The 12504-nt window shown below is 41.0% G+C and overlaps 1 protein-coding gene across 4 annotated transcripts in view, besides 1 other annotated feature; it reads right to left on the bottom strand.

Moving 5' to 3' along the window:
- NCOA3 (nuclear receptor coactivator 3) overlaps positions 1–12504 on the bottom strand; it is a 154986-nt gene that overhangs the window by 66045 nt on the left and 76437 nt on the right. For all 4 annotated transcript variants that reach the window (NM_001174088.2, NM_181659.3, NM_001174087.2 and 1 more), the window contains exon 2: positions 7567–7645. The gene's annotated coding sequence lies outside the window, so the exon portion shown is untranslated. The remainder of the gene's footprint in view (positions 1–7566; positions 7646–12504) is intronic.
- Positions 936–1136: a silencer, noted in NCBI's record as "peak4234 fragment used in MPRA reporter construct". NCBI's record gives its function as "represses an SCP1 promoter by STARR-seq MPRAs in K562 erythroleukemia cells {active_cell/tissue: K562}" and the evidence as "EXISTENCE:reporter gene assay evidence [ECO:0000049][PMID:32103011]".

Here is a 12504-nt window from a genome sequence, read left to right as displayed (position 1 = left end):
GTTTTTTGTTTTGTTTTGAGGCAGGGTCTTGGTCTCTTGCCCAGGATGGGGTGCGATGGTGCGATCACGGCTCACTGAGGCATCAGCCTCCCAGCGTCAAGCGATCCTCCTACCTCAGCCTCCCCAGCAGCTGGGACCACAGGCATGTGACACACAATGCCCAGTTAATGTTTTTATTTTTTATTTTTGTAGAGACGGGGTCTTACCATATTGCCCAGGCTGGTGTTATTTTTTAATATTCTGTTTTCTGATGGCTATATGAGGAAGCCCTTTTCCTTTCTTCTTCATCTACCTCTAGCTCACAATTTAATATATTATGCTTTTGTAGGAAAATTTTTAAATGGCATTTGAGAGCGGTGGCGCATGCCTGTAGTCCCAGCTACTCAGGAGGCTGAGGCAGGACTGCTTGAGTCCAGGAATTCAAGATTGCAATGAGCCACAATCATACCACTGCACTCCAGGTAGGTCAAGAGAGTGAGACCCCACCTCAAAATAAAGTAAAAACTAAGTCTATTTTTTCATGTTAATAACGTTATTTGCATAGGCTTAATCAAATTCCGTCAAGACAAAGGTAAATAAAATTTACCAGGATAACTGGACAAATCATTGTACAATCTAGGTCATATACTATTTCTTATAATTAAGAACAATATAATGATATAATGTCATATAATTATAATATAATCGTATGACAAGTCCACCACTATAACAAAGATAGTAGGGCAGGACACAGTGGCTCACACCTGTAATCCCAGCACCAACACTTGGGGAAACCAATGCAGGGGGATTATTTGAGCCCAGGAGTTCAAGACTAGCCTAGGCAATATAGTGATACCTCACTTCCACAAAACATTTTAAATAAACATCTTATAAATTAAAAAATTTTTTTAAAAAGAAAACAAAGATTTTACATTATACAAGAAGTCAATGTTTATGGGCCTGGTACCTGTTCTTGGTTTACAGGGACTAGCTTCACAGATGGAAGGTCACTTAGTGGCAGCCAATGACTCAGTAAATTTAGGGAACCTGAACAAGAGATGACTTCATCCAAATTTATAAGTATTCCAAGTGAAATCTGGTGGAGAGGGTATTGTATTTGTTTCCTAGTTTCAGGATAAAAGAACAAATAAAAGAGACTTTAAAAGTTCAAGTCAGCCAGGTGCAGTGGCTCATGCCTATAATCCCAGAACTTTGGGAGGTCAAGGAGGGTGTATCACCTGAGTCAGGAGCTCGAGATCAACCTGGACAACATGGCAAAACCCCGTCACTACTTAAAAAAAAAAAATTAGCTGGGCTTAGTAGTGGGCACCTGTAATCCCAGCTACTCAGGAGGCTGGGGCAGGAGAATCACTTGAACCAGGGAGGCAGAGGTTGCAGTGAGCTGAGGGTGCGCCACTGCACGTCAGCCTGAGTGACAGAGCGAGACTCTATCTCAAAAAAATAAATAAAGTCCTATAATCAGACAATGTATATGGGCATGAGGATGGCACTGAATAGAGGCCAGAAAGAGACTTTGGCAAATATAATCAATTAATCAAGTTACCAAAGCAAACCAAGAAAAAAGGAACATCTTTTCTACAAATAGCCCTGGAACTGGATATCTATAATTTAATCAAAAGTTGGTCCTCTGGCCGGGCACAATGGCTTACACCTGTAGCTTACTCCCAAGCACTTTGGGAAGCTGAGGCGGGTGGATCACCTGAGGTCAGGAGTTTGAAACCAGCCTGGTCAACATGGTGAAAACCTGTCTCTACTAAAAAAAAATACAAAAATTAGACGGGCATGCTGTTGGGCATTTGTAGTCCCAGATACTTGGGAGGCTGAGGCAGGAGAATCTCTTGAACCTGGGAGGCAGAGGTTGCAGTGAGCTGAGATTGCACCACTGTACTCCAGCCTGAGAGACAAGAGCCAAATTCAGTCTTTAAAAGAAAAAAAAGTTGTATTTTATATTCTGTAAATTTTACTACAATTAAAATAAATGAATGGGAAAGATCTCTTTGGCATGATAGGGCATTATTTCCAGGAGATATCAGTTAAGTAGGAAAAAAAGCAAAGTGCAAGAGTATATATAGTACGCTATCTTTTGTATAAATAAATAAATAAAACATACAGATACCATCAAAAAAAAGAAATGGGAAGGATAAGACAGAAAACATTTAAGTTGGTTACCTAAGAAAACTGAAGAAAAATGGCATGGAAGGGATACAAAAGCAATGTATGCCTTTTGTATAATTTTGACTTTTGAAAGCATGTTATTATTCTACATATTACAAAAATAAAAATCAGAATGGGAGGCAGCATAAGCAAACAAGTAAATAAACTTAATTTTGTTTCAAATGAATACCCTAACTAGTTTATACAGAAAGTAAGGTGGGAAGTAAAAGTGGGGTGGAGGTCGGGCGTGGTGGCTCACTCCTGTAATCCCAGCACCTTGGGAGGCAGAGGCGGGCGGATCGCCTGACCTCAGGAGTTGGAGACCAGCTTGGGCAACGTGGTGAGACCCTGTCTCTATTAAAGATACAAAAATTAGCTGGGCATGGTGGCACGCACCTGTAGTTGCAGCTACTCAGGAGGCTGAGGCAGAAGAATCCCATGAACCCAGAAGGCAGAGGTTGCAGTGAGCCAAGGTCGCACCACTGCACTCCAGCCTGAGCAACCAAGACTGCCTCAAAAAAAAAAAAAAAAAAAAAAAAAAAGTGGGGTGGAGAAAGGGTATGGAGGGCTAATCCAAGCAATTTAAATTTTAACTGTTTACTCTCGGTCTTGGGTAAAATTGGGAGGTGGAGAAGAATTATAGACAAATGCTCCACTCATTTTCAGTTTGTTTATTGCAGTGAAATGAAAAAACCAATTCTGAAATTATTTTAGATGTATTAGAGGATTAGGCAAATGAGTAAATGTACTAAGGTTGAGAGTCAGGATTCCCACATAATAATAAGGGACATAAAAATAAAAAATGAAGTACAAAGAACCCTGTAGACATGGAATAAAGACGTACATACTGATATAAGCTCATGATTTCTAAAATATGTATATGTATGTTTCAATGAACACATGCGAAGTCGGCCCTCTGTATCGTGGATTCTGCATCCATGGATCAAAAATACTCAAAAAATAAATTTAAAAAAACAATACAGCAATAAAATACAAATTAAAAAATACAGTTTAACAACAACCTACACAGTATTTACACTGTGTTAGATTCTTATAAGTAATCTAGAGATGACTTAAAGCATACAAGAAATTGAACATGGGTTATATGCAAATACAATTGCTACTTTATAGTTTAAAGAACTTAAGCATCAGCAGATTTTGGTGCACACAAAGGGTCTTAGACCCAATCACCCTCAGGTACGAAGGGATGACTGTATGAGTATGTATATGTACATGTATGTGTATAAGCATGCATATTATTTCCTAGCTCTATCCACTAAAAAGGCCAAGATGAGAAAACAGCCCAGAAGTAGTGAGGACACCTAGCACTCAGAGAGATCTTGGTCTCTAAAACTTTTATTCCCCACAAGGACACAGCGGCCCACTTACAGGAGTTTCACTAGCCAAACTTCTAGGACAATTTGAGCACTAAAATAATTAAGCAGGGTAAGTGAATTGTAAACCATTCAAAAAATAGGAATTCATGAATCCATCACCAATACATAGGGCTATTGATTATGGAATACAGCCAAGATCCGACGGGTAATGGGAAAGGAATGCTGGAAAGAAAAAAATGACCATTTTGCAATCATCACAATAAAAAGCTGGATCAGACAAGAGTCAATGGATGCTAAATCTAGAAGAAACCGTGAAAAGAATCAGAATATCTGCATTGTTTCCCCACAAGCTGCTTATTGCTTGGCAAAAGAGAGGGCAAAAAAACCAAATGGTGGAGAAATCTGGCAACACCTTGGCCAAGGGATCAAAATTTGCATCACAATAAGGGACAGACGGACGTCATATGACTCCATCTCAGAGTATCACATTGCGGATGCAGTATTCCTGCCAAGAATCCATAACATCTTAATCTAATCACAAGGAAATTTCAGACCAACATAAAATGAAGAACATCTCCACTGAACAGAGTAAAGGGGTTAGGGAAGGGTTGTGTTCTCAAAAATGCCAATGTCATAAGAGATAAAGACAGGCTGTGAAAATATCCCAGGAAAAAGGAGGCCAAAGAGAAATAATAACTGAATGCAGAACCTGACCCCAGACTGTAGTCTATACAGGAAGCATAGAAAATGCTACAAGAGACTTTCTTAGGTCAACTGACAAAACTGGAATATGGGCGATAGATTTCATCGATGTCCATTTATGAAGTTATTAACTGTACCATGGTTATATAAGAGAATGACCCTATCTGTAGGAATACAACAGAAGTATTAGGGGAAAGAAGCATAACATATGTAACTCACCCTCAAATGGTTAAAAAAAAAAATTGTGTGTGTGTTTACGTGGGTAGAAAAAGAGAAAAGAGAGTAGGACAGCACAAATACAAATAAGCAAGTGGGTAAGTCTGGATAACGGATATCCAGATGTTCTTTATACTATATTTTTGTAACTTTTGTAAATGTATACTTCCAAATAAAAGGTATTTAAAAAAGAAAAAATTGGCCGAGCACAGTGGTTCACACCTGTAACCCCAGCACTTTGGGAGGCCGAGGCAGGTAGATCACCTAAGGTCAGGAGTTCAAGACCAGCCTGGCCAACATGGTGAAACCCCGTCTCTACTAAAAATACAAAATTAGCCGGGCAGGGTGGCGCGTGCCTGTAATCCCAGCTACTCAGGAGGCTGAGGCAGGAGAATCACTTGACCCTGGAAGTGGAGGTTGCAGTGAAACAAGATCGCGCCATTGCACTCCAAGCTGGGTAACAAACTCTGTCTCAAAAAAAAAAAAAAAAAACCTGTGGAGATAGTTCTCTGCCATGTTCAGAAGAATGGGTATATATCACAATTAACTGAGGGATTTTACAGGGAAATTGCAAGACCTAAGGCTGGTAACTTGGATAGATTCTCAGATAAAGTACCATTTGAAATGTCAGAGAAGGGAGTTTGTACTTTTTCTTTCTGTAAGCCAAGGAAAGGTAGCACAAAACTTAGAGCACAACATAAGCTTGGCTAAAAGTATACATTTAGGAAAATCTAGCTAAATTTTAAGTGAGTGGACAAGGAAGCAGTAGAGACAAGGAAAAACACCCTCATGAAATTATGGGGTCTTGGCCTCGGAAGCTAAAATTAGGAACAGAAAGTGGAACAAATACAGGACACATGAAAATAGAAAGCCAGATAAAGCCTGCTTACCAAATGAATCAGAGTACGGTGGGATTCAAAGACAACTCAGATTTCAAACCTAGCTAACCAAGAGAATGATGGGATTACCAAAAGAAATTTAGCTAAGCAAAGCATGATTGTTTTCTCGGCAACTAGACAGCTTTTTCTATTCTCATTTTTCCTATTCTGATGTAATATTAAAAGTTAAGAAAAGGGGCCAGGCGTAGTGGCTCACGCCTATAATCCCAGCACTTTAGGCCAAGGCAGGCACGTCACTTGAGGCCAGGAGTTTCAGCCTGGCCAACATGGTGAAATCCCATCTCTACCAAAAATACAAAACTTAGCCGGATGTGGCCGTGCACGCCTGTAATCCCAGCTACTTGGGAGGCTGAGGCATGAGAATTGCTTGAATCCAGGAGGCAGAAGCTGCAGTAAGCCGAGATCACACCACTGCACTCCAGCCTGGGTGACAGAGGGAGTCTGTCTCAAAAAAAAAAAAAAAAAAAAAAAAAGTTAAGAAAGGGGTTAGATGAAATGTTATTTGCCAGCACAAGCAATCTGGGGAAATTTGTCTTCACAAGGTGAAACAGCAAATGTAAGTTAGGCTAATTCAGATGTTTGACTAAATGCCATTAAAATATTCACACATAAGGAGGGGGAATTTCTTCTCTTCCCCCAAAATTATGTTTGTATTTGTATGTATATACATATATACGAATACCATAACCCCTTGTACAACACATTTGAACTGCATTTGTTCTGTTATACGCAGATTTTTCTCTATTTCTGCCATGCCTAAGACAGTAGGACCAACATTTCCTCTTCTTTCTCCTCCTCAAGCCTACTCAACCTCACGAAAAGAATGAAGACCTTTATGATGATCCACTTAATGAATAATATGTATATTTTCTCTTCCTTATGACTTTTTTTTTTTTTTTTGAGATGAAGTCTCACTCTGTTGCCCAGGCTGGAGTGCTGTAGCATGATCTCAGCTCACTACAACCTCCACCTCCAAGGTTCAAGTGATTTTCCTGCCTCAGCTTTTCGAGTAGCTGGGATTACAGGCACACGCCACTATGCCCGGCTAATTTTTGTATTTTTAGTAGAGACGGAGCTTCACCACATTGGCCAGGCTGGTCTCAAACTCCTAACCTCAGGTGATCCACCCACCTTGGCCTCCCAAAGTGCTGGGATTACAGGCATGCGCCACCGCATCCGGCCATGTCTTTCCTTTTTAATTATTTATTTATTTACTTATTTTCTAGAGACAAGGTTTCATACTGTTGCCCATGCTGAAGTGTAGTGGTGCAGTCATAGCTCACTGCAGCTTCAAACTCCTGAGATCAAGCAATCTCCCACCTCAGCCTCCCAAGCAGCTAGGACTACAAGCGCACACCACCTTGCTAGCTAATTTTTTGTGTGTTTTGTAGAACTGGGGGTGTTACTGTGTTGTTTAGGCTGGTCTCCAACTCCTGGCCTCAAGTGATCCTCCCACCTCCAATCCCCAAAGTGCTAGGATCATAGTTGTGAGCATATGAGTGAGCCACCATGTCCAGCCTCCTTAAAATTTTCTCCTTTTTTCTATTTCTTTTTTTTCTTTTTGGAGACAGGGTTTCATTCTGTTGCCCAGGCTAGAGTGCAGTGGCACAATCACAGCTGAGGCGCAGCCTCAACCTCATGGGCACAGGCAATCCTCCCACCTCAGTGTCTCTAGTGCTAGGGACTAAGGCACAGGCCACTATGTCTGGCTAGTTTTTGCATTCTCTGTAGAGATGGGGTTTCGCTCTGTTGCCCAGACTGTTCTCAAACTCCTGGACTCAGGTGATCTAACCACCTCAGCCTCTCAAAGTGCTAGGATTATAAACATGAGTCACTGCACTTGGCCATAATTTTCTTAATAACATTTTATTTTCTCTAGCTTACTTTATTGTAAGAATACAGGATATAATATATGTAACATACAAAATATGTGTTAATCAGCTGTTTATATTAACAGTGAGGCTTCTAGGCAAGAGGAGGTTATTAGTAGTTAAGTTTGGGGGGAGTCGAAAGTTCTGCACATTTTTTACTGAACAAGGGGTCAGTGTCCCCAGTCCTCAGTTGTTCAAGGGCCAACTGTACATACACATACGTATTCACTCAAGTACTCTAAGCACATTCATTTAATAATCATTAAAGAGAAAAACATGAAGCATAAATAGTTTTAATTAAATCATAAATTAAAGAGGAGGGTAATATCTTCAGAAGGTTGAAGACAAAAAATTACAAAGGATCAAATCAAACTAAAGCTGAATTACCTGGCTAACCAGTCAAAGGATGTTCAAGCAGTTTATTTTTATTGGTCTCTGAGTCCACCATCCAGCAAGTATTTTGATCCTGAGGACAAAAAGAAGAGGAGGGATTGAATTTTATTGTCTTTTCTTCATTTAAGCATTATGATTAGTCACCCACAAATTAAGTCTTCCAGCCGGGCGTGGTGGCTCACGCCTGTAATCCCAGCACTTTGGGAGGCAAGGCGGGCAAATCACTTGAGGTCAGGAGTTCAAGGCTGGCCTGGCCAACATGGCAAAACCCCAACTCTACTAAAAATACAGAAATTAGCCGGGCGACATGGCATCCGCCTGTAATCCCAACTACTCAGGAGGTTGAAGCAGGAGAATCACTTGAACCTGGGAGGCAGAGGTTGCAGTGACCCGAGACTATGCCACTGCACTCCAGCCAGGGTGACAGAGCGAGATTCTCTCTCAAAAAAATTAAGTCTTCCCATTTTTCCCTTCCCTGGATATATGAAACAAACAAAAGCTATCAAGTACACCACCTCTTCCTAGGAATTTGAGTAGATGTCTTATTGTACCATATAATCACTACTTCTGTTTGAAAAGTCAAGCATAGGGCCAGGCGCAGTGGCTCATGCCTATAATCCCAGAACTTTGAAAGGCTGAGGTAGGAGGACCGCTTGAGGCCAGGAGTTCAAGATCAGCCTGAGCAACATAGCAAGACACCATCTCCACACACAAAAAAATAAAAATTAAAAAACAAAAGTCAGGGCCAGGCGCAGTGGCTCATGCCTCGAATCCCAGCACTTTGGGAGGCCGAGGTGGGTGGATCACATGAGGTCAGGAGTTTGAGACCAGCCTGGTCAACATGGTGAAACCCCATATCTACTAAAAATACAAAAAATTAGTTTGGTGTGATGGCATGCGCCTGTAGTCCAGCTACTCAGGAGGCTGAGGCAGGAGAATCACCTGAATTAGGGAAGCAGAGGTTACAGTGACCCAAGACCATGCCATTGCGCTCTAGCCTGGGCAACAAAAGCAAAACTCCATCTCAAAAATAAGTAAATTAATTAATTAATTAATTAAAATAAAAGTCAGGCATAGCATATATAATATGTACTCTGTCACAGTTTGTAAAAATGGATAATGCAAAGTGGAGGTGGTGGAGACCAGTTCTGAATCTTGAAAAGTGATCAAAACAGATGGGTACTCTGAACTTGTGGGGGTATTCATTTGTCCAAAATCAGTGCTCAACAGAGAATAAAGACAACATTAATACCCTGGCAGAATCAAATGCTTAAATGCCCTAGTCCAAAAATTATCAGATGAGGGAGGGATGGATAAAGCCAACAAGCAAAGGCCAGAGGAAAGGCTCAGATGTTTTCTTGCCTTCTATAAAAGGATGCATTTTGACCACCAAAACAAAATATTAGCAAGGAAATGAGAGACCGTTCTTCAAAATAATCTACAATAAAACACATGAACATATAAACAGCAGGCTTTTGCACTTGAAGAAATGGCGTGCAGGTTCTGCTGCAATAAATAAGTGAACCAGTAAGAACATTCACTTTACCTTATGAATTTCCAAATTTAACAATAAAGCAACAATATGATTGCCACTAATTCCAATGGTATCGAACCAAGATAACAACCATAATTACGCCCTAAAGTTAATAGCTTTCATGCTGGAATTGGTAGATCTGTTGGTATGGGGGAAAGGAAAAATGATATATTCACAAGTTACAAGTAACAAACATATTATAGCCATGGACATTCCACGTAGTGTAGTCTGCAGACAGTATATAGGGAGAGCCAACCACAATCTAGCTGCATTATGGAAAGGTCTGTTGTGTTTCTGAAACTAAAATTAGAGGGGAGAAAATCAGTGAGCAGGGAATGGGAGGCACATTACATGTGGCTCACAACAAAGGAAAAAGAAAACTCTAGGTAGTGCCGGGTGACTATCCCTTATGCAAAATGCTTAGAAGCATAAGTGTCTCGAATTTTTTTCAGATTTCTTAAATATTTGCATATGCATACTGAGATATCTAGGGGAAGAAACCCAAGTCCAAACATAAAATTCATTTATGTTACTTATACACACAGCCTGAAGGTAATTTTATATAATATTTTTAATAATTTTGTGCACCAAAGTTGTAGCTTTTTTCTTTTTCTTTTTGAGACAGGATCTCACTCTGTGCCCAGACTGGCTGGAGTGTGGTGGTATGGTCATGGCTCACCTCAGCCTCGACCTCCGAGGCTCAAACAATACTCCCACATCAACTACCCAAGGAGCTGGGACTACAGGCACACACCATCATACCCAGCTAATTTTTATATTTTTTGTAGAGACAGGGTTTCACCATGTTGCCCAGGCTGGCCTTGAACTCCTGAGCTCAAGTGATCTGTCTGCCTCGGCCTCCCAAAGTGTTGGGATTACAGGTGTGAGCCACCATACCGGACCGAATGTTATGTTTTTTAACTTGAATTTTTATGCTATCCAATTTAATTCGTGTAAGATGAACGGAGAAAAGGTAGGCAGAACTTCTGTAAAGAACCTCTAAGATCTTCTGGCCCTGTTTTAAATCAGGTTTGACTTCTAAAATGGTTCTCTTATGTTTTTTCCTTTATTAGGAAAGACGAAGGAGGGTCATGGGGTGGGGTTAGCACCTAAGGAACAAAAGAGGTGGGATAAGGAAAGGATTTTTTGGGGGGATGGGGGTGGGGGATGGAGTTTCACTCTGTTGCACAGGCTAGAGTGCAGTGGGGCATGATCTCGGCTCATTGCAACCTCTGCCTCCCGGGTTAAAGCGATTCTCCTGCCTCAGCCTCCCGAGTAGCTGGGATTACAGGTGCATGCCACCATGCCCAGCTAATTTTTGTAGAGACAGGGTTTCACTACATTGGCCAGGCTGGTATCGAACTCTTGACCTCAAGAAATCTGCCCACCTCGGCCTCCCAAAGTGCTGGGATTACAGGCATGAGCCACCGTGCCCGGCCAGGAAAGGAATTTGAGTCAGAAAGTATCTAGTAGCATAATGGACCTAGGAAACAATTACTGCTGCCTCGTGTAGAAGGTGGTGAGAGGGCCTAGATTAATACTCCAGTGTTATAGTGCTGGTCTTCGTACTTCTCAAAGGAATGCTGACCCTGCCAATCTGCACCCTTGGACCCAAATGTTAACTGCTGGACCCCCAGGTGGAAGATCATGTAAAGTCAGCATGCCCAGATGAACAAAGAATGCAACCATGGGTGGAATCTAAATGATCAAACTGAGGAACAGCGAATGAATAAGAGCAGACACCACATGGCAGGACAGAAGATGCAACCAAATCAAGCCTTGACATCATCCCATGGCAGGATCCACTCAGATCACACCTCATTACTCTCCAAATATAAAACCTGCACCCAAACTCTAGTTCAGAGAGGCAGATTTGAGCCCAACTCCTGTCTCCTTACACAGCAGCCTTGCAATAAACTTTTCTTCCTACAAAAACTTGGTGCTTAGTGTTCAGCTTTCCATTGCATACACAGAAAAATAGACCCAGTTCAGTTCAGTAACACAAAGACAAGCCAGGTACAAAATTCTCCCCTCCAAGGAAGTGTATAATTAAACCAGAGAGATTCGCAAATAGTCACAGAACAATGATTGGCTTGCCTACCAGGAACCTGGAAAGGAGTACTACTATATACCAGGATCCTGTAAGTATAGAACTGTTAGTAAATTTGCTGGTGAGTTAAACTTGTCTGGAAAAAAGATTCTGCAAAGGCAACAATCCTAGCAGATTTCTTAGGACAGTATTTTTTTTCTTTATCAAAAACAAGATTATCCCTTTTCACAATTCAGATTTTCATCAATCACACATACAAAAACCAAATCATACTGACATAAAACTAAATGTGAGAAGTTCCAGAAACATTAGACATCTGAGAAGGTAACAGGGACATTAAATTTTCTAGTAGAATTAATGGTTTACTGATGACATCTACATTACCAAAACCTGCATCACCAGGCCAGGCATGGCAGCGCACACCTGTAACGCCAGCTACTCAGGAGGCTGAGGCAGGAAGATTGCTTGAGCTCAGGAATCTGAGTCCATCTTGGACAACATGGCCCCTGTTTTAGTTTTAGGTTTTTATTTTAAGCCTTCATCACCAGAGACCTAAAAGGACGTGAGGGGAAATCAAACATCAAATTAAGCCTTGTTAATAGCTAGTCTGAGAAGATATGCCTCAAAGCCAGAACAAAGAATAAAATTGGGGAGAGGAGTTGATACACAGGAAAATCCAAACTATATAATATATAATGCTTGGAAACACCAACAGGGCAAAAAGCAGCCACTGAATATTATAAACATGTTTTTCTTTTACTGTTGAACATGAAAAGGGGCAAGGATTCTACAATTAATCATATTAAACCCATTGTTCTTTCCAAGCTCCCACTGGCACTGCTCCCAGGATCTCCTTCCTCACTTCCCTAAAATCACAGAAAAGGGGAGCCACTGTCACTGGGAAAAGCTAGCTGTTGCTCAATAATCTTCAAAGTACTACAGAGTAGACTGGGTCACCAAATGAATTTCAGGTTAAAGGCTGCAAAATATTAGTGTTAAATTTAACGTCAAAATCCAACACTTTTGCAGTTGGGATTATTTATCAAGTGATAAGTATCTTTGATCAAAACTCTAACCACAGGTTTCACTTGCAACAATCAACTACAGCTAATCTGTAGCTATAATGAAAGGAGAAGACCAAATGCAAGTTGAAAATCATATGAACATTTCAAGTTATATAAAATGGGGCTGGGTGCAGTGGCTCATGCCTGTAATCCTAGCATTTTGGGAGGCCGAGGTGGGCAGATCACCTGAGGTCAGGAGTTCGAGACCAGCCTGGCCAACATGGCTAAACCCCATCTCTACTAAAAATACAAAAAGTAGCTGGGTGTGGTGGTGGGCGCCTGTA

The sequence above is a fragment of the Homo sapiens genome, chromosome 20, assembly GCF_000001405.40.
Source record: "Homo sapiens chromosome 20, GRCh38.p14 Primary Assembly".
NCBI lineage: Eukaryota > Metazoa > Chordata > Mammalia > Primates > Hominidae > Homo > Homo sapiens.
This window is presented reverse-complemented; position numbering and strand designations above follow the sequence as displayed.